At 45.1% G+C, this 21545-nt stretch overlaps 1 pseudogene, besides 1 other annotated feature; it reads left to right on the top strand.

Moving 5' to 3' along the window:
* Window positions 5835–20199, top strand: VWFP1 (von Willebrand factor pseudogene 1; annotated as a pseudogene).
* Window positions 13035–13192: a silencer, noted in NCBI's record as "fragment chr22:17177994-17178151 (GRCh37/hg19 assembly coordinates)". NCBI's record gives its function as "represses an EF-1alpha promoter that drives an FKBP-Casp9 reporter gene in an ReSE screen in HepG2 liver carcinoma cells {active_cell/tissue: HepG2}" and the evidence as "EXISTENCE:reporter gene assay evidence [ECO:0000049][PMID:32094911]".

The following is a 21545-nucleotide window of genomic DNA, read 5'->3' as shown; positions in this document are numbered from 1 at the left end:
AATATTGGCCTGAAATTTTCTTTTTTTATTGGGTCTCTGCCAGGTTTTGGAATCAGAATGATGCTGGCCTCATAAAATGAGTTAGTCCCTCTTTTTCTATTGTTCAGAATAGTTTTAGAAGGAATGGTACCAGCTCCTCTTTGTACCTCTGGCAGAACTCAGCTGTGAGTACGTCTGGTCCCGGGCTTTTTTTGGTTGGTAGGCTGTAATTACTGACTCAATTTCAGAACTTGTTATTGGTCTATTCAGGGATTTGACTTCTTCCTGGTTTAGTCTTGGGAGGGTGTATGTGTCCAGGAATTTATCTATTTCTTCTAGATTTTCTAGTTTATTTGTGTAGAGGTGTTTACAGTATTCTCTGATAATAGTTTGTATTTCTGTGGCATCAGTGGTGATATCCCCTTTATCATTTTTTAATGTGTCTATTTGATTTTTCTCTCTCTTCTTCCTTATTAATCTAGCTACCGTTCTAACTATTTTGTTAATCTTTTCAAAAAACCCACTCCTAGATTAATTGATTTTTTTGAAGGTTTTTTCGTGTTTCTCTCCCATTCAGTTCTGCTGTGATCTTAGTTATTTCTTGTCTTATGCTAGGTTTTGAATGTGTTTGCCATTGCTTCTTTTGATTGTGATGTTAGGGTGTCGATTTTAGATCTCTCCCACTTTCTGATGTGGGCATTTAATGCTATAAATTTCCCTCTAAACACTGTTTAACCTGTGTCCCAGAGATTCTGGTATGTTGTGTCTTTGTTCTCATTGGTTTCAAAGAACTTATTTATTTCTGCCTTGATTTTGCTATTTACCCAGTAGTCATTCAGAAGCAGGTTGTTCAGTTTCCATGTAGTTGTGCAGTTTTGAGTGAGTTTCTTAATTCTGAGTTCTAATTTGATTACACTGTGGTTTGAGAGATTGTTATGATTTTCATTCTTTTCATTTGCTGAGGAGTGTTTTACTTCCAATTATGTGGTTGATTTTAGAATAAGTGCTATGTGGTGCTGAGAAGAATGTATATTCTGTTGATTTACGGTGGAGAGTTCTGTAGATATCTATTAGGTCTGCTTGGACCAGAGCCGAGTTCAAGTCTGAATATCCTTGTTAATTTCCTGTCTTGTTGATCTGTCTAATATTGATAGTGGGTTGTTAAAGTTTCCCACTATTATTGTGTGGGAGTCTAAGTCTCCTTGTAGGTCTCTAAGAACTCATTTTATGAATCCTGGTGCTCCTGTATTTGGCGCATATATATTTAGGATAGTTAGCTCTTCTTGTTGCATCGATCCCTTTACTACTATGTAATGCCCTTCTTTGTCCTTTTTTATCTTTGTTGGTTTAAAGTCTTTTTTATTAGAGACTAGCTTTTCTTTCTTTCCATTTGCTTGGTAAATATTCCTCCATCCCTTTATTTTGAGCCTATGTGTGTCCTTGCAAGTGAGATGGGTCTCCTTGAATACAGCACACGTATGGGTATTGAGTCTTATCCAATTTGGCAGTCTATGTCTTTTAATTGGGGCATTTAGCCCATTTATATTTACAGTTAATATTGTTATGTGTGAATTTGATCCTGTCATCATGATGCTAGCTGGTTATTTTGCACATTAGTTGAAGCAGTTTCTTCCTAGTTTCATTGGTTTTTATATTTTGGTGTGTTTTTGCAGTGGCTGGTAATGGTTTTTCCTTTCCATATTTAGTGCTTCCTTTAGGAGCTCTTGTAAGGCAGGCCTGATGGTGACCAAATCTCTCAGCATCCGTTTGTCTGTAAAGGATTTTATTTCTCATTCACTTATGAAGCTTAGTTTGGCTGGTTGTGAAATTCCATATGTACATCATGAAAATGAGTGCATGTGATATACATACGTACATACACACACACACACTGCATACTTTCATTTTTATGTCCATTACTTTTCTGATTTCATCATCAGCCAACTAAAGAAAATAGAAAAAAAATTGGTAATTTGATCTTTCATGTTCTGCATCTTCCAGCTTCACACTTACAGTTTTCTATTTTTATTGTTATTGTGATCAGAATGAAAAAGTATACTATAGAATCAGAATCGGGTCAGAATCAACAAATATACGATAATGTTTGTACATGCTTTCAATGCAGTTTGTCTCTGCAAAGGGTGTGTTTGTATGCACATGTGCATGTACACAAGTGTGTAAATAAGTGTTTTATTCATGATGGAGAAAGACTGGTCAAAATTATTCTGAATGAGGTAGCACCACTACAGCAGATAATTAGGTATCTAGCAATAAAACAAATCATTAAACATGTTTCTAAGTATCTACTCAGTATCTGGCACAATGTTAAGTAGTATAAACATAATCGTAAGCAAAATTCAGCTTCTACCCTCAATGGTATATGTGCAGAACAAATTGGTAAAGCTGGAGTACATTTCAGGACCAAAAACAGTTTCTGTATAGTTCCCACTTCATCAAGACCATGTTATATACTACTCATACACTTAAGCCATAAGGAAGCAATTCTTCCATCCACCCTTTTACAGGGTAGTGGTGGGGAAGAAGAGCTGACTGTCATGCTTGAATTCACATAATTTCATAATTAAATAATTTCATGTTACATAATCTCAATAAACCTAAAATCCAATATATGATAAAGGTAGTGTTTCAAATCAGTTGGTAAGTGATAAATGGTTCATAAAATGGTGTTCAGATAATTGGCTATATGTATTTTATAGTTGCACAAAGGTATAATATGTCATTCATAATACTAATTCCAGAGTGGATGTCAAATACACTTTTTTCAAAATATAAAGAAAAAATACCATAGACAAATATCATTTGCAACGTGACAGTTAAAATTAAATATCTAAACATAGCACTAACCAATAACAGAAAATTTAAAAAAAAATATTCATGGATTGGAATTTGTTAAAATATAAAACTTTTCTATTTCAGAGGATACCATGAATATGTGTAAAAAGCAAATATCAAGTCAGCAGCAAGTGTTTGCAATTCACTTGACATATTTAACATATGAGTAGTTCCAACAAATCATAAATAAATGATTAGTAGTCCAATAAAAAAAGACAAAGTACATTGACAGGAAACTGTATGAAACTCATGAACACTAAATGTATTAGATTCTCTATTGTTAAAAAAATGCAAAAACAATAGAGAGCATTATTGATATGGAGTTAATATTTTAACAAAATTATTAATTTTATCCATGTTATAAGTAAATATATACATCCAAAAACCCTTATTTTCTCTGAAAGTTGTCACTTATGAGTCTATTTTGAAAATGTTTAAAGAATAGTAATTAATTAACTTTAATAAATAGGTATTCCTATTGAGGGAAAACAGACATTTCCATAATTTTTCTTCTGTTTCTAATATAGTAGATGGTAGGAAAATAATGACAAATGCATGTTCATACCTGGATAATATGCATTCCATTAGTTCTTTTAAACTTTTGCATTCTCAAAACTATATTGATCCCTCAAAGCGTACCCTTTGTTGTTGAAAGCAGCCTTTCGAGCATAAAGACACACACATCACTTTCCTTAAATCTTATATAAGGCAAGGGCGTAGATGCCTATCAGAAAATGTATTTCAAGAATGCTTTTTTAGTAGTTCCTGTGGCTTATCTTATAGAGGAAGGTTTTTTTTTTTTAAAAAAAATACACACAGTTTTTGATGCACATTTTTATTGGAAAGAGCTTTTATTTCCTTAAATGTTTTGTTGTCTAAGTGTGAAAAGTATCCTGCAGTGGAATTTAGTGGAACAGATGCTTATTGTGATAGATGAGATGAACTTGCTTCCCCAAGCATGCATGGGCATGAAATGCATCTGGCTTCTGTACATAAAAGTCAGTTATGTTCCCAAATGTGTTTCTGCATTTACACAGACATTTAGGGGCAGACACCCTACTATTCCCTCAAAAGGCGACTCTGCTTAATTATGAAGTTCAAGTTAGACCAGAAGTTGGAAAATACTAAATTCCACATTGCAGACAGAGCCTGAGCAGGTGATGTCACCACTGCATACTAAGGTGGCAAGTCCTCAGAGAAGTCACTTATCACCTTACCATGGAGAAAAATAACTGTGTCCAGAACCCAAGAGGATGCTGTAAAGTAGCGTACAATCAAGTGTGCAAACCTGTGCAATATATACCAGATGAAATCCAGTTCAGAGGAGGAAATAAGGGTAGGCTCAGGAAAACAAATAAATGAGGATATGCTTTAAAAAGTAGGACTTCATATAAACAGTCATGAGAGTAAAGACTATTGCTAAGCACATAGGAAACACAAACCAGGCTTTCAGGAAGGAGTTTGGCACATGTATGCACTGGTAGGAGGTGTAATGTGCAGAAATCCGGCCTTTTGTGGCATAGCAACTAAAGTTCCTTTTCTATCGTCCAGATAACCTTAAATATTCCCTTATAAAGTAATATCTTAAAAGGCCATCTACTGTGCACAGTGTGTTAGCATCAAGGACATGAAATTTATCTGGAATATACCAAAACTTTAATCAATAGACTAGGACCAAAGCTTTTAAAAATAGTTTTTTTTTTAGATAAGTCATTATAATTTATTATTTCCTTGCCATAGGTAAGGCATGATACATAACTTTACTTTTTTCTCAGTTACTTAGTGTGTAGGTAGAATAATGACCCTTAGTAGGATGACCTTTTGAATATGTTGTTAGGCAGCATGGGAGCATTATGGTTGCAGGTGGAATTAAGATTGCTAATCACCTGACCTTAAAATGGAGAGATTATCCTGAATTATCTAGGTGGGCCCACTGTAGTCACAAAGAACCTTCAAACAGGAAGGCCGAAAGACCAGAGTGAGTAGAAGAGCTTGGGGAAACTGGAGCAAGATAGAATACATTTTTTCTCTTTGTCTCAACATCAGGGCTCTAAGTATATTGTAAAAGTATAGCACCTTTTCTTCTCCAGGCCAAATATTTCCAGTTTTTTCTGTAGTTTTTTTTTTGTTTTATTATTATTTTTAGTTGACATTTAACTGTATGTATTTACTGGTGACAGTGTGATATTTCAATACATGTATACAGTGTGTAATGATCAAATCAGGGTAGTTAGTATATCTCTTCCCTCAAACATTTACCATTTCTTTGTGTTGGGAACATTCAAAGTCTGCTCTTCCAGCTACTTGAAAATATACAATAAACTGTTGATAATTATAGTCACCCTGTGGTGCTACAGAACACTAGAACTTATCCCTCCTCTTTGTGTAGTTTTCACTTGTTTCTCACTCATTCATAACTACTTTTTCAGAACTTGTTGCATGTTGCACTCCATGATGGGTGAACATGGAGACAGGTGAGACATATCTTCCTGGTTACATTTATGATAGAGCAGAATTCTGCCCAGCCTGGTCTGAACAGGCTGCGGTTCTCCAGGCAAGGGGACTCACCTGCCCAGAGGCAGGCAGTTCTATAACGTTCCCTCCTTGGACCCCTACACCTCCATTGGTGGAGCAGTGTACCTGGCTCCTCTCTCTGCTTCTACGCTTGTTGGGGACAGCGATAGTTCCCACCAGTGATCTCAGGGCCAAGGCTGCCTGATTCCCACTTCTGCCCTTGGCTGACTATGTGACATGGGCATGTTGCCTCTCTTTGTTTCCATAGCTTCAAATAAAATGGGGCCAGCAAGGAAGCTCAGGAATAGGGCTTGGCAATGGCAAGGCTTTGCTGCTCACCTCGGGCCTCCTCTGAGTCTCTGTCCCGCTCCTCCTCCTCTCCCTCGAATGCCCTCTGCCTCCATTGCCGCCAGGAACGTTCCCCTTTCCCCTGAGCCAGAGAGCATGCCCCTGGGCTTGACGGTGCTCATCCCTCAACTTGTCTCTCAAGGAGAAAGTGTGTGGCCTGTGTGGGAATTTTGATGGCATCCAGAACAGTGACCTCACCAGCAGCAACCTCCAAGTGGAGGAAGACCCTGTGGACTTTGGGAACTCCTGGAAAGTGAGCTCGCAGTCTGCTGACACCAGAAAACTACGTCTGGGTCTCTGTGTGGACAGAGCCCGAGAGCTTGCTTCCTGGAATGTCCCTCTGTCCCCATTCTTATGGGGGCTGGAAGGGGGGTTGTGGGTGGTATGACCTTCAGGTGGCTGCAGGGTGGGAAGGAGGGTCTCTTGGATCCTTCTGGGCTGAATAACCCCAGTTTGACCAGCTGACGGCTGGCCTATCTCTTGCCTGGTTCCCAGGTGCCTCTGGACTCATCCCCTGCCACCTGCCATAACAACATCATGAAGCAGACGATGGTGGATTCCTCCTGTAGAATCCTTACCAGTGACGTCTTCCAGGACTGCAACAAGCTGGTGAGGACCTTGAGGGTAGTGGGAAGCAGATGGTCCCAAGGCTTGGCCCAGTGGTATGGACACAGAGTGTGACCTTCTAACGTGGACACTACCCTTGTGTCTTGACATGATCTGCACCAAGACACCACTTTAGCTTTTTTTTCTTGGCTTTCAATCTGGGAAACAAAAAGTAAAATCAACAGTTTCTAGGGGAAGCAATGCCTGGCAAAACATTTCCTTCTGCATGAGAAGTAACTCCCCTTGGCATGTGCCAACGTTTCTCTTTCGGCCCCAGTCTTAGGATTTGTTCTCTTATGGAAGTATCTTGTTTTCAACACCAGAGCCAGAGATTTCCTTTTCCTGTCACTGCTGCATTTGTCCAGACCAAAAGACCGTCCTCTCCCACTCCTCAAAACCCCTTGGTGCCCATTTCTTGTCTCACAGAAATTCTTTTCTGGCCTTACTTTTGGTGATTTTGAGTCCTCGTATTATGACTTATTTTTGTGTCTTCATCTCTAATGACAAGGAGGAACTCCCCAGGGTTAAGTGCAGTTGTCTCTCTTCTTTTTTTTTGAGACAGAGTCTCGCTCTGTCACTCAGGCTGGAGTGCAATGGCATGATCTTGGCTTAGTGCAGCCTCTGCTTCCCGGGTTCAAGCGATTCTCCTGCCTCAACCTCCCGAGTAGCTGGGATTACAGGTACCCGCCACCACACCCAGCTAATTTTTGTATTTTTAGTAGAGACGAGGTTTCACCACGTTGGTCAGGCTGGCCTCGAACTCCTGACCTCAGGTGATCTACCCACCTGAGCCTCCCAAAGTGCTGGGATTACAGGTGTAAGCCACCATGCCCGACCATAGTGCGGTTGTCTCTTATCTGCTGCATGTATGTGTGTACACACATGTGGACATGGGCTTGTACATGGACATATGTGACTACAGAAGTCTATGTACACACACACAGCCATGCACACATACATGTTGCTGTGTAGCACCACCAATGTGGGAGAGACTGGTTGAAAACATGGATCTCAATTCTCTTTCTATCTATGCAGTGATTTTCAGTCTCTGAGGACTCCAAAGGATACTTACATTCCCGGTTTGGTGGAAATCCTGGGCATCTGAGTTGGAAGAGTGAGGACAGGGGAGGAGCTGGGGACATTGGGACTGTTGGAACGTCTTGGAAACAATGACCCACTCAGTGTCTGAATTCATTTTCTGTCATAACTGCCCTGAAAAAGTCCAGTGTGTTTAGAGGCGTGTTTTGGGATGAGGAAGGGTGGGAACTGGTTGAACTGGATTTGGAATCAGAGTCTAGGCCCTATTGTTCTGCATACCTGCCCCATAGCACTGCAGTGAGGCAGCTGCAGGGCTTGATGTATTTCCCCATTCTGCTTGCTGAATTGAGGCAAAGAAAGACAGTGACCAGCACATATGTGTGTTTGTGTTTTTGTAAAAACACCCACATGCTCATGAGGCCAAGAGTGGGTTGTGAGGACAGATGGGTGGCTGAGCAGGGAGGCAGGCAGAGGGACAGAGGGAATGTTCTTCTGGAATATCCTCAGGCTCATTGTGTTCTGCAGAAGGCCAGCAGCACTGCATTATTCAACTCTTCTTGCTGGAATGCAGATTAGAAACTAAGAATCTTGCCTTCCCACTCATTCCCTCTTTGAGACCATTGAGCTACATTTCTCCTTCTACCTGGACCCCCCTTATCCTTAAATTGACCATCAGAACATTTGCACCCAGACTAAGAGCCAGAGTTTCTGACACCTGGCCATAGGCCTGGGCCACCTGAGGCTGCCTTTGCAGGTGGACCCCGAGCCATACCTGGATGTCTGCATTTACGACACCTGCTCCTGTGAGTCCATTGGGGACTGCGCCTGCTTCTGCGACACCATTGCTGCCTATGCCCACGTGTGTGCCCAGCATGGCAAGGTGGTGACCTGGAGGACGGCCACATTGTGCCATGAGTCCTGACACCCTCATGTTCTCAGATGCCCTCCCTTCTTCCCATGTGTCTATGCTTGAAGACCTTGTGAGTGCAGGGGGATATCTTCATGGGCGAGAGAAGACAGTGCTAGTATGGGACTGGATGGCCAAGGGCTAACGAGGGTTAAGACGTTGGCTGAGTAAGAAGTTTATATTATGGACTTTGAGGCGGGACATGGATTCAAGGCATGAACATGTGGATACTTTTCTTCTGGAGAGATTCTGGCAGAGGAGAAGAGGGAATACTGATGAAAAGAAGGAAGTTGATTTATGTCTTTAATTAGGCGTGATTATATTTGCCAATATGAGTGATCAACTCATACATTCATGTCTATAGAATCTTCCTTCTTTGGACATAAGCAACTTAATGCTTTTATGTAGAAAACTGGGCCAGGCACAGTGACTCACACCTGTGATACCTGTGTTTTGGGAGGCTGAGGCCAGAGGATTCCTTGAGCCCAGGAGTTCAAGACCAGCCTGGGCAACATAGCAAGACCCCATCTCTACAAAAATTAAAAAAAGAAATGAATTCAGAACCAATAGATTCTGGTTTAGGTGCTTCAACAATCCAGAAGTCTCTAATATTGGTGACGCCCATAGTCCCCTAGTTCCCCAACATTATCTCCAGATGGCGCAGGCCATCACCACATGGGTCTGCAGTCCTGGAGGCTTTGCCTGTTGTGGCCACAGCCTTGTCTCCTGTCTACACAGCCCAGAGCTGCGAGGAGAGGAATCTCCGGGAGAACGGGTATGAGTGTGAGTGGCGCTATAACAGCTGTGCACCTGCCTGTCAAGTCACGTGTCAGCACCCTGAGCCACTGGCCTGCCCTGTGCAGTGTGTGGAGGGCTGCCATGCCCACTGCCCTCCAGGTGAGGCCTCTATCCCTGGGGGTCAGGCTGGTGGGATGGGATAGGGATGGATGGAAAGGTGCTTCTAGGTCTTGCTTCATCTCAGCCTCCACCTGCCACGTCCTATCTCTGACCTGCAAGGCTGCTGCAGGTTCCGTGGGTTCTTTCATCAGAGTCAGGACAGTCGTGATTTTTCTCAAGTCGAGCTCCTCCAAAATGCTTTTCTGTGCCTATTTATGGGATTCTCACCTAAAGCAGCCCCTGCCGATAGAACTTTCTGCAGTGGGGGAATGTTGTATTGAATGTAACTGTGACGAGTGTGTCTGAGGAACTGAATTTTTGAATTTTATTGAATTTTACTTAATTTAACTTAAATAGCCACATGCAGTTTATGACTATCCTATGGTACAGCACAGCTCGAGAGTTACTGAAGGTGTTATTCAGAAGAGCAGAAAGAGCCCTGGAGATAAGATTTCATTTGTCCTGAGGCTTGGGGAGGTGAGGTAGGATGAAGGAATCCCCGCTCCCAGTTTTGCAGAGGGATCAATCAAGGCACAAGGAGGAGAGATGCTCCTTGAGTGGCAGGGTGACCCCTAGGGGTGCAGGCAGGAGGAGTTGGCTTCTAGGGCAGGAGGAGGAGTTGGCTCCTCCCTTTTAGTTAAAAATGAGACTTCCTTGTGGGAAAGGGGAGCGTTTTGGTTCCTAATGAGAGCTTTCTTTTGCAGGGAAAATCCTGGATGAGCTTTTGCAGACCTGCGTTGACCCTGAAGACTGCCCGGTGTGTGAGGTGGCTGGCTGGCGTTTTGCCTCAAGAAAGAAAGTCACCTTGAATCCCAGTGACCCTGAGCACTGCCAGATTTGGTAAAACAGATGCCTGGATTGTTTGAAGTGACGAATCTTATTGCTTCTCCAGGGGCCAGCTCAGAGACTAGGTTTTGGGTAAAAAGTCCTAGCCACATGAGTTGAGAGACTGAGTTTATTTTATTTGTTTATTTATTTAATTCATTATTTAGTGTAGTTTATTGTTTTGTTTGTTCCTAGGGTTTGCTTCTTTTTCTTTAGGGATGGACTAGACTGCTTCCTCCACATATATTCCTCTACAATGTTTTTGCTCTTAATAGGTTTTTAAGTCCTAACAGGTTTTTGCTTTTCTCACTGAAGGTGAGGGTATGGTCACTTATTGTCCTTGTAGGTCATGACTAGTCTGAGCACAGGTGTCCATATACTGGAGGTGGCGACTCAGGAGAGGAAAGTGAGATGGAACGCGGGGCCCTCAGGGTAACATGAACGTCGTGGGGGCCATAGTCAAGGTGGCAGGGTGTGGCTGTCATAATGGGGAGGGAAGGTGCTCGTTGCTCTCACCCTGGGTTCTCACTGGACTTGCCTCTGGGAAACTGGCCTTTGGGGAGGTGAGAAGGAGTCCTCAGGGTGAGCTCTGAGCCCTCTGAAGTCCTGCTCATAAGTAGGGAACATTTATTAAAATCCACATCTATTCAACACCACTCCCTGACACTGATCAGGCCTTCTGGGAGCTTAAACTTGAGAATGTAAATTCGCTGGGGAGGGGCTATGGTCACAGCTGCCAGAGTCAGATCCTGCCACCACCATCTGCACAAACAAGAACGAACACTGCCTGGGGTGAGTTTTCTAGCAAACACAGGAAACTAGAAAGTATGTCACTCACGCACCGTTAACCAAGGATTGAAGCAATAAATCTCATGGATCATGGGAAGGAGGAATTAACTTCCTAGTAAGACTCTACCTGCGCACACTCTTTATGCTGAAACAGGGACTGTAGGGAGCAAAGGATTGGGTGATTCTGATGCTGGCTTGGGGTTCTGTGCCAAAAGGGCATGAGAGCTTCGAGCCCTCTCCCCACCTCCTTTGCTGGCACACGGGCAGGGGCAGCTGCCACGGTGCACGCTGAAGCTGCAAGCAGTGTGTGGACAGAAGTCCCACAGCAGGCTGGGGGCATCACCTGGTATCAAGCCACAGGGGGACACTTCCCAGGCTCAGGGCACTGCCGCCTTGTCAGCTTTACTGGGAGTGCTGAAGGCCAGGTGCCTCCAAGGCTGAGAGTCCAAAGAGGAGATGGTCCTGGCCCATATTGGTCTCCACCACATGGCCACTTGATTTCACCTGTGGGCTGGCAGGCCGTGCCACTTTCCGGGACACTGGCAAAAAGGTGATGTTACCAGCAGAGCCTCGAAATTTGGCATAGTAGTGTAGGAATTTGTGTGTGTGGGGCCACTGCTCTACTACAGACTTGTGGTGTGTGCTTGGGGCTGGGCACAGAGCCTGGCCAATACCTGGCACATGAGAGGTGCTCACCCTATGTCTGCTGGAGGAATGAGTGAATGTCTTTTCTTAGGCCTAACACCTTGGGGACCCCTGTCTGCTACTCCCAAATAATTTGTTCTGCTAGATAAAGCTGGGGTTTTGAATCTTTATTCATCTTTCCACAATGTTTTTGCTCCAATTTTTTCTCTCTTCGTTAGGGCCCAACGTATTAAACATGTTTTAAAACTCATGCAATTTACATTCTGTTAGAATATGTACTGTAAAGCATTTATCTTCAACAGAACATGTACAAGCACAGGTTAGCGTCTACATTTTAGTAACATTTGTTCTTGGAGACACTTGTAAGAAGGCTTAGATTATAATTAAGTATTCATGTTGCTAAAGATGTAGGTTGAAAAGAAATCAGCTTTGAGTGGCTGTGTGGATGGCCTAGAACAACGAGTATATTTTTTCATATCCTAGGATGGGCTAAAGCTTTGGTTTCTAGAATCAAAGGAAGTCGGCTATGTGTGTGTTTTGAAGTGGGGGGGCATGCTATTTGGGGACAGATGTTAAACAGTGACATCTCACTTGGGTGTGGAATGGTCCGTGGGATCTCAAGTTCAGGTGGAACAGAGGAGATTCTGTGGGAATATGGAAGTAGTCATACACTGTAGGGCTCAGAAGTGTCCATAGGTTCTTTCTGAACCATTTTAATTTCTTCGCTCTTTTCTGCAGCCACTGTGATGGTGTCACCCTCACCTGTGAAGCCTGCCAGGAGCCGGGAGGCCTGGTGGTACCTCCCACAGATGCCCCGGTGAGCCCCACCACTCTGTATGTGGAGGACATCTCAGAACCGCTGTTGCACGATTTCTACTGCAGCAGGCTACTGGACCTGATCTTCCTGCTGGATGGCTCCTCCAGGCTGTCCGAGGCTGAGTTTGAAGTGCTGAAGGCCTTTGTGGTGGACATGATGGAGCGGCTGCGCATCTCCTAGAAGTGGGTCCGCGTGGCTGTGGTGGAGTACCACGACGGCTCCCACGCCTACATCGGGCTCAAGGACCGGAAGCGACCGTCAGAGCTGCGGCGCGTTGCCAGCCAGGTGAAGTATGCGGGCAGCCAGGTGGCCTCCACCAGCGAGGCCTTGAAATACACACTGTTCCAAATCATCAGCAAGATCGACCGCCCTGAAGCCTTCCGCATCGCCCTGCTCCTGATGGCCAGCCAGGAGCCCCAACGGATGTCCCGGAACTTTGTCCGCTACGTCCAGGGCCTGAAGAAGAAGAAGGTCATCGTGATCCCGGTGGGCATTGGGCCCCATGCCAACCTCAAGCAGATCCGCCTCATTGAGAAGCAGGCCCCTGAGAACAAGGCCTTCGTGCTGAGCGGTGTGGATGAGCTGGAGCAGCAAAGGGAAGAGATCGTTAGCTACCTCTGTGACCTTGCCCCTGACGCCCCTCCTCCTACTCTGCCCCCCCACATGGCACAAGTCACTGTGGGCCCGGGGCTCTTGGGGCTTTCGACCCTGGGGCCCAAGAGGAACTCCATGGTTCTGGATGTGGCATTTGTCCTGGAAGGATCGGACAAAATTGGTGAAGCCAACTTCAACAGGAGCAAGGAGTTCATGGAGGAGGTGATTCAGCGGATGGATGTGGGCCAGGACAGCATCCACGTCACGGTGCTGCAGTACTCCTACATGGTGACCGTGGAGTACCCCTTCAGCGAGGCACAGTCCAAAGGGGACATCCTGCAGCGGGTGCGAGAGATCCGCTACCAGGGTGGCAACAGGACCAACACTGGGGTGGCCCTGCTGTACCCCTCCGACCACAGCTTCTTGGTCAGCCAGGGTGACCGGGAGCAGGTGCCCAACCTGGTCTCCATGGTCACCAGAAATCCTGCCTCTGATAAGATCAAGAGGTTGCCTGGAGACATCCAGGTGGTGCCCATTGGAGTGGGCCCTAATGCCAACGTTCAGGAGCTGGAGAGGATCGGCTGGCCCAATGCCCCCATCCTCATCCAGGACTTTGAGACGCTCCCCTGAGAGGCTCCTGACCTGGTGCTGCAGAGGTGCTGCTCCGGAGAGGGGCTGCAGATCCCCACCCGCTCCCCTGCCCCTGGTATGCTGGCACCTTGTGTGCAGGTGGGAGGGCTGGGCGAGGGCTGGCATGGCCTTGGTACTACATGCATCTGCCAAGATATGACTTGGGTTCTAATCCTGGCTTCCCTGGTCTGTGTGCCCTTGGTTGAAACTTGCCTTCAAAGGGCCTGTGTTTCCTCACCTCCCTGGCAGGGAGACAAACTGTGATCCTTTTGCGGGGGAAGATCTTTTCTTATTGTGTGTGCTTCTGTAAATTCAAAGGTAATGGAAGCCTATTGTTAACATTTAAACAATGCCACTAAGGAGTAAAAAAAAAAATATGCAAGTCTTACTTTATCACACGGCCTCTTCCCCACCCAATTCCACCCTCCACCTTCAAGGTAACCTCTGTTAAAGGTGATGATGATAAGCTTCGTTTTGACCACACTGGGTGGGTGAAATTATTCTGAGTAGCTGACATTCTTCAGGGCGAGACCAGGATGTCAGGTGCCAGGTAGCAGGTGCAGTCTTCAGACACTGGAGTCAGTGTCTGCCTTAGTTTGAATCTTATCTCTGCCACTTGCTAGCTGGGTAATTTTGGGCAAATACTTAACCTCTTTGTATATCAGTCTCCTCATCTATAAAATGGGGATAATAATAGCACCTACTTGCTTAAAATAGTATCTGGCACATGACAGTGCTCAAAAAAAATGCTTGCTCCCACTGCTGTTATTACTACCTTTTACTGACACTGGTGTCTAATCCATTCCTAGTTCCTGAACATCTTTATTCGGTGTGTTTGGGACCATCTCAGAATAATAAGCCTTCTTTTAGTATCTTTTGAGTCTCACACTTGTCAGTACTTTTGTTTCTTTGTTTTTGTTTTTATTCATGGCCATAGATTTATTTAAATTCTTGTAATATTTCTGCTGAGGAAAACAACAATTACATCATTTCATCAAATCTCAGATGTGCTCAGACACTAACAGGAGCACTAGGCATTTATAGCTGGAAGAATCACAGTACGTTCACCTGCCTTGCAAGATCTGAGGACACAGCAGCTCATTGTCCAGGGAGGGGCTGCCGCTCCATTTCCTTTTGCAGTCTTGTATTGCCAGGCCAGTATTTTACTCATTTCTAGAAGAGTGGCGGCCCCTTCTTACCGAGGAAGCCCATGCCTACTGCTTTTATTTGTAGACATTTAAGCTTCCTTTGGGTAGAACTGGAGGCTTCTCAGTGTCTCCAAACCTGAGGTAGTCCAGCCCCAGGAACTCCATCTCCCCTATCCCCTCCTCCCTGGCCCACGTTGCCCTTGCACTCACAAAGGCAGCCCCCGCCCCCCTTGGTGGTGCCACGTGGTCAGCACGCCCTGCAGATCCTATGGGATGTCAGGTTGTAGGCCTGGCGGCCAGTGCCCCTGCTGGCACCTGTGTGCTCACCTTCCTGGTTATCTTTGCAGACTGCAGCCAGCCCCTGGACGTGATCCTTCTCCTGGATGGCTCCTCCAGTTTCCCAGCTTCTTCTTTTGATGAAATGAAGAGTTTTGCTAAGGCTTTCATTTCAAAAGCCAATATAGGTGAGTGAGTGAGGCACCTGAAGCAGCAGGTGACGAAGAGGCTCTTTTTGGGGCTCCACTTGATTCAGAATAATCCCCATTTTCTTGTTCCGTTTAGGGCCTCCTCTCACTCAGGGGTCAGTGCTCCAGTATGGAAGCATCACCACCATTGACGTGCCATGGAACGTGGCCCCGGAGAAAGCCCATTTGCTGAGCCTTGTGGACGTCATGCAGCGGGAGGGAGGCCCCAGCCAAATCGGTAACGTTGGTGCCACAGGCTGGATGCAGAAGCTGCATTCTGGTTCTTATTTTTGGCATAAGTGACTGTGTGACCTCGGCCAGTCACTTTGCTCCTTGGCCTTAGTTTCTTCTCCTGGAAAGTGAGGGGCTAGATGCTCTTCCACGTCTCTCCAGATCTCAACTGGGTGTTCCTTGGAGTCTCTGAATCATTCAGCTTTTAAGTGACTTAAGGATCCACCGTGAGACAGGGTGTCCAGCCGCAGTCAGTACTGACTTGGTGTGATCTGTTCTCCATCCTCAGGGGATGCCTTGGGCTTTGCTGTGCGACACTTGACTTCAGAAATGCATGGTGCCAGGCCGGGAGCCTCGAAGGCGGTGGTCATCCTGGTCACGGATGTCTCTGTGGATTCAGTGGATGCAGCAGCTGATGCCGCCAGGTCCAACAGTAAGAATCTGGTGTACAGTCCTCAATTCAGGAGAGCGAGACTTCAGAAATGATAGAGGATTAAAAGTGGCCTGGGGTTACTTTTGGATGTTGTGGCTGATATTAAATATGCTCAGTACCAACCTCTGTCCTGGTTTCAAACAGCAGGAAATTATCCAATCACGATGTGATTAGGAAACCAAACAATAATAAGTGTGTGTTGATCCTATATCTTTATAACTAATTATAACCCTTTAATTTCTCCACATTTTCCCTTTGTGTCCAGGAGTGATCATACCTCTATGCCCTTTCTTTCTAAAGTAGGATTCGTGGTCTCTTACTAAAATGTCATGTCTGAGGCCAGAGTGATTCATTGTGGGGCCTTGAGAACCAATGGGGACTTTCATGTATTTAGAGTCCTTTCCTGGTACCAGGTAATGGGCTTGGCAGGGTTGATGGATGAGAGACAAAGGATCATGCTGTAGGAAAGGGAAGGATCCAGATGTCCAGCCTTGTGCTCCATAAGAACATGTGCTTATCATGTTCTTAATATCAACAGGATGTGAGCTGGGACAGGTGGTAGAGTCTGAGGGACCACCTCCCAGCTGAAGGAGGTCTGGGTGAGTGGAGTGACATTGAGTCCCCTCGTGGCCACCTGGAGAACTGTTCATCTTTCAGAACCCTGCCTAGGAGTGCTGTCAGAACCCTGTCTTTTCTCTGCTGTCTTCCTGATGTTCTTCCTGAGGAAGTTATTTGCTCCGTTCTCTATGTCACATATGAGCTACTAAAAATGTGCAAATCGTATTGTATTGTATTTGTAACATATCTATTCCTTGCAAAAAACTGGGAGTTCTTTGAAGGCAAGGGAAGATCTTGCTTATTTTTGTATCATCTGTGTATGATGCACAAAATAGGTGACCATTTAATGTTTGTTGAGTGAATGAATGTGACATGTTTATGAAATCTATAATTTTAGGGTAAAGGACACTAAAAGGGAAAGGATATATATTTGGATGATATAACGAACTTACAAGGGCTGAAAAGCTGCTAGTAGAAAATCCATTCCAACCTGAAGCACATTGCAAATTCCTAGAACTTTCTGGAGAGCTGAATTGAGGAATTTCAGGATGGAGATTTTTTCTCCTTTAGTATCAAGAATCCAAAGAAAGATTTTCACTGGGAAAGGAAGCAGTTGTGGTCTTGAGGAAGCAGATATGATCCAGAGCACGTCATTTAACCATCTAAAGCCTCGGTTTCTCATGTGTAAATGAGCATGCACATTCTCTGGGCTCAGCCCTGTGATATTTTCTCTTCTCTTCTTACATATACCCTGTTGGTGGTCTAGTTCAGTGTCATGGGTCTGAATATATTTATACATCTCTGACTTTGAAATTCGTATCTCCAGCCTCACCTCAACTCAGCTTGCATGCTCTAACAGGCAAAACTAAACTCCTGATTTTCACATCCGTCTTTCTTATCTTAGAAAATGGCGATTCCAACCTTCCAGTTGTTCAGTTCAAAAAGCCCAGCATCCTTGATTCTTCTTCCTTTTTCCTGATACCTCCATGCAAGCCATGAACAAACTATAGCTCCATCTTCAAAATACTTTGAGAGTTGCACCTCTCCACACCATGTCCACCAGGGTCACCTCAATCTGAGTCCCCAGCATCTCTCACCTGGACTATTGAAATAGCTGTCTAACTGGAATCCCAGCTTCCACCTTTGTCCCCTGCAGCTCATTCTCAGCACAGCAGCTGCAGTGGCCCTTTACTATCAAAGTCAGCCCCTGTCCCTCTGCTCTGTAGTCTTGGCTGGTTTGTTTCATTCACAGAACATGGTGAGCCCTTACTGTGGCCAATGGAGCATTGCCTGATCCATGCCCTTTCCCTCTCTTGCTTGTCCCTCTCTCCCCAGCCCCCGGGAGCATGCAGTCACACTTCTACTCTGGGGCCTTTGCACTCACTCTTCTCTCTGCTTGGGATGTCCCTCCCTCAGACATCCTCTTGGCTCCTTCCCTCCTTACATCAGGTCTCTGCTCAGATGCCATCTTTTCACCAAATGCTTCTCCAACTGCCATATATACAACGATAACCCACACCTCAGCCCTGGGCATTCTCATCCCCCTTATCTCATTTTGTTTTTTTCCTAAGCATTTATCCACATCTGAAATTCTATATATTTACTTTGTGTGTTTGTTGTCTATCTCTCCATGAGGACGGGGGACAGGGAGGGACTTTATGTGCTTGGTTCACTGCTGTACCCCTATTGCTGACAATAGTACCTGACACAGAGTAGGAGCTCATTAATATCTGTTGACTGAACATCTTCCTCATAGGGCTGGTGTATGTGACCAGCCTGGAAAACACGAGGCTGTATTCAGATGCTGGATATAACGTCAGGCCAGTCCATTTTGAACCTTCTTGCCCACAGATCCTTTCTTGTCTCTTTGCTGACTCTAGGAGTGACAGTGTTCCCTGTTGGAATTGGAGATCGCTACGATGCAGCCCAGCTACGGATCTTGGCCGGCCCAGCAGGCGACTCCAACATGGTGAAGCTCCAGCAAATCGAAGACCTCCCTACCATGGTCACCTTGGGCAATTCCTTCCTCCACAAACTGTGCTCTCGTGAGTCTTATAATACCTTTCTTACTTCCCTCAAAAAAAGTTCCAAAACAAACCCGCCAAAGAAACAAAAATACTATTCAAGAGACCCCAGGGTGCCCATGCATAAGATTTGGCCTTGAAAGAAGATTATTATATAGACCAGGACATTCAAGTTTCTGCTCATGGGAGGTGTATACCACAAGCCCCCGTGGGGCCAGCAGAAAGCTTTCTGTGTATGGTCCTATTTCCACTCTAATTGGCCATGTGAACTTGGCAGAGAGCCTAAGCTTATTTGTGTAGAGGGATCTTGGACAAAGGAATCAGAAGACATAAGCAAGGAACCCCAGAGTTCCATAGAGTCTTCTTCCCCATGGGCCTAGACTCACTCTCAACATGGGTATAAAGGGCTTTAGAAATACAATAACATGGAGACTCATATCAAAGTACCATAGTTTAAGTTGATTTTAGGTTAGAAACTTAAAAAATACGCTTTTGGCCAGGCACGGTGGCTCATGTCTGTAATCCCAGCACTTTGGGAGGCCGAGGCGGGTGGATCACGAGGTCAGGAGATCGAGACCGTCTTGGCTAACACAGTGAATCCCCGCCTCTACTAAAGATACAAAAAATTAGCCGGGCATGGTGGCGGGCACCTGTAGTACCAGCTACTTGGGAGGCTGAGGCAGGAGAATGGCGTGAACCCAGGAGGCGGAGCTTGCAGTGAGCCGAGATCGCGTCACTGCACTCCAGCCTGGGCGACAGAGCAAGACTCTGTCTCAAAACACACACACACACACACACACACACACACACACACACACACACACACATGCTTTTTTTGGGGGGAGGCCTGGGTTTATATATTTTCCCGTTACTAGATGTAAGTCAAAACCTGCATAAAGCTACTGTCTTTCAGGGGAATAAGTCAGTGCAAGTTTGCCCTTAAAGGGCAATAACTCTACACAAGTTTTGACTTATAGCAAATCACATTAGCTGTACAGAGAGATGGCAGCTCTCCTGGTAGGAATCTTCAAGTAGATCTCTTTCAGGTTTCCAGGATCTTGCTTCATCTCCCCACCTTCCCCATCCCTGGCGTGATCTACATGTGAACCAAGATAATGACAGCGTAAGCTGTAGTTATTGCCATATTATCGCTGTTGTTGGCATCATAATTATTAACAACCGCAGAGCATGTCTGAAGAACCACAGGATGACCACCTCAGCCACATGTCCCTAGGTCTCCACTGTTAACCTTGTTCAGATTCTTTTCAGAGTTGAGTTGACTTCAAAAACTAGACCAGGTTGCTTAAGCAGACATTGTGAATGGTTCAGAATTTCTGGGTGAAAGATGGGAACTAAGGTCTTATTTGTGTCTGTTGCAGGATTTGTTAGGATTCGCATGGATGAGGATGGGAATGAGAAGAGGGTAAGTTCCTTTCTGTTGACTTTGAAAGAAAGATTAGAGATGTGTTTGGGGCTCTTGTTCCCACTGTTTAATTTTTCCTCCTTTGGTCTTAGTCCAGCGCTTCCTCTTACTATTATCTTGTTTTTGAGGGTCCATCTGTACATCTTGTGTTTTGCTTCCTGTCTCATGTACAGGAGGCCTCCTTGCTGTGTAGGCCCGTGTTCAATTCTAGGGGTCAGTTGTCTGGCAGATGGGCTTAGAGTTGGAGTACCTCATCTTATTCCCTGCCTGAATCTGCTGTTTTCTTCTGCAGCCCGGGGACGTCTGGACCTTGCCAGACCAGTGCCACACCGTGACTTGCCAGCCAGATGGCCAGACCTTGCTGAAGAGTCATCGGGTCAACTGTGACCGGGGGCCGAGGCCTTCATGCCCTAACAGCCAGTCCCCTGTTAAAGTGGAAGACACCTGTGGCTGCCGCTGGACCTGCCCCTGTGAGTCCTTTGCTTCTCCAGCCAGGGCAGCGTCAAAGGGGCAGTGCTTTTAGCTTGGCTGTGCAGAAAAGTAGAGCAGGCACCCACCAGCCCAGAAGTACCCTTTCCCTCATCACCACATGCACAGTGCTACCTTCACTCACCTTCCTTTCCTCCTGTGCTCTTTGGACATGCATGCAGCCAGTCTCAGGGATCACTGCCCTCTTTCTCTGTCTTTGGAAGGCACTTCCCCAGATTATGCATAACCGGAAGGAAGAATTGCTTTTCTGAGGTCAGTGCTCAGCTTGGCTGTTGGCAAGTCAACCTTTAGGAATCTATGTATTCAGGGTATAGCAGTGGAAGTATAGCAGTGAGAGAGATGCTTCCAGAAAACTCTCCAACCACACCTATAGCAAGAGTACATCACCAAGGTGGCCTGAATTAAGAGGAGGAAATATTTAAAGTCCATCTCACGTACACTTGTGGAGAGCATTTCATCCATGGGCTGGGTTAGCCTTCTGTCTCATGTTTGGGAGCAATGACTGCTTATGGTGACCATGACTCAGCAGTGGATTGTAACTTTATGCTGAACAGGCATAACTGGTGGGATGCAATCAAAACTGTATGTTATAGCTCATTCCCCCTTTAGAATTTATTTAGTGAGATAAATTTCCCTCTTGGTCTAGGTGAAAACTCCACCAGACTTTAGGTTTCTTCTGTTTATTCATAAAGAATTCTATAGTTACTTTGTCAGAAGACAAAGTCTCAGTTGATAATTAGATACCCACTCTTGTGTAATAATCAAAACTTTGAATTTGATTAGAGTTAAAACACCTCCCAGTTCCAATTTGCGCTGCCTGCCTCTGGGAAGGAGGGTATGGTCAGCTTTCCTCTGTACAAAGAGCATTGCCTTTTGTGATTAAAAGCATATCCTGGAAATTACCCGATGTCATTTCAAAGAGAGCTTCCTAATACTTCACTGTGTACCATAGGTTACCCAACTGTTCTTCTATGGATGTGCATTTAGGCTGTTTCCAGTGTCTTGTAATGACAAGCAATGCTGCAATGAGTAAACCTGCACATACGAATTGTCATATGGTTGGAGGTGTGTCTTCAGGGTAGATTCCTAGAAGTGAGATTCTTGGGTCAAAAGATAAGTGCATATGAAGTTCCCCTTAGATATTCCCAGATTCTCCTCTAACAGGTGAGATGTGGTTGTGCAAAACTGGAATGTCCATCAGTTTGCTTTTCGATCAGCGAGGTATGAGAGTGCAAGCTTCTCCACGGCCTTGCTCAGTGCGTTGTTACAGTGTTTTTTTTTTTTTTCAAATTTCTTACTTTTCAGGAAAGAAATAGTATCTGAGTGTACTTGA

The sequence above is a fragment of the Homo sapiens genome, chromosome 22 (genome assembly GCF_000001405.40).
Source record: "Homo sapiens chromosome 22, GRCh38.p14 Primary Assembly".
Taxonomy (NCBI): Eukaryota; Metazoa; Chordata; class Mammalia; order Primates; family Hominidae; genus Homo; species Homo sapiens.
This window is presented reverse-complemented; position numbering and strand designations above follow the sequence as displayed.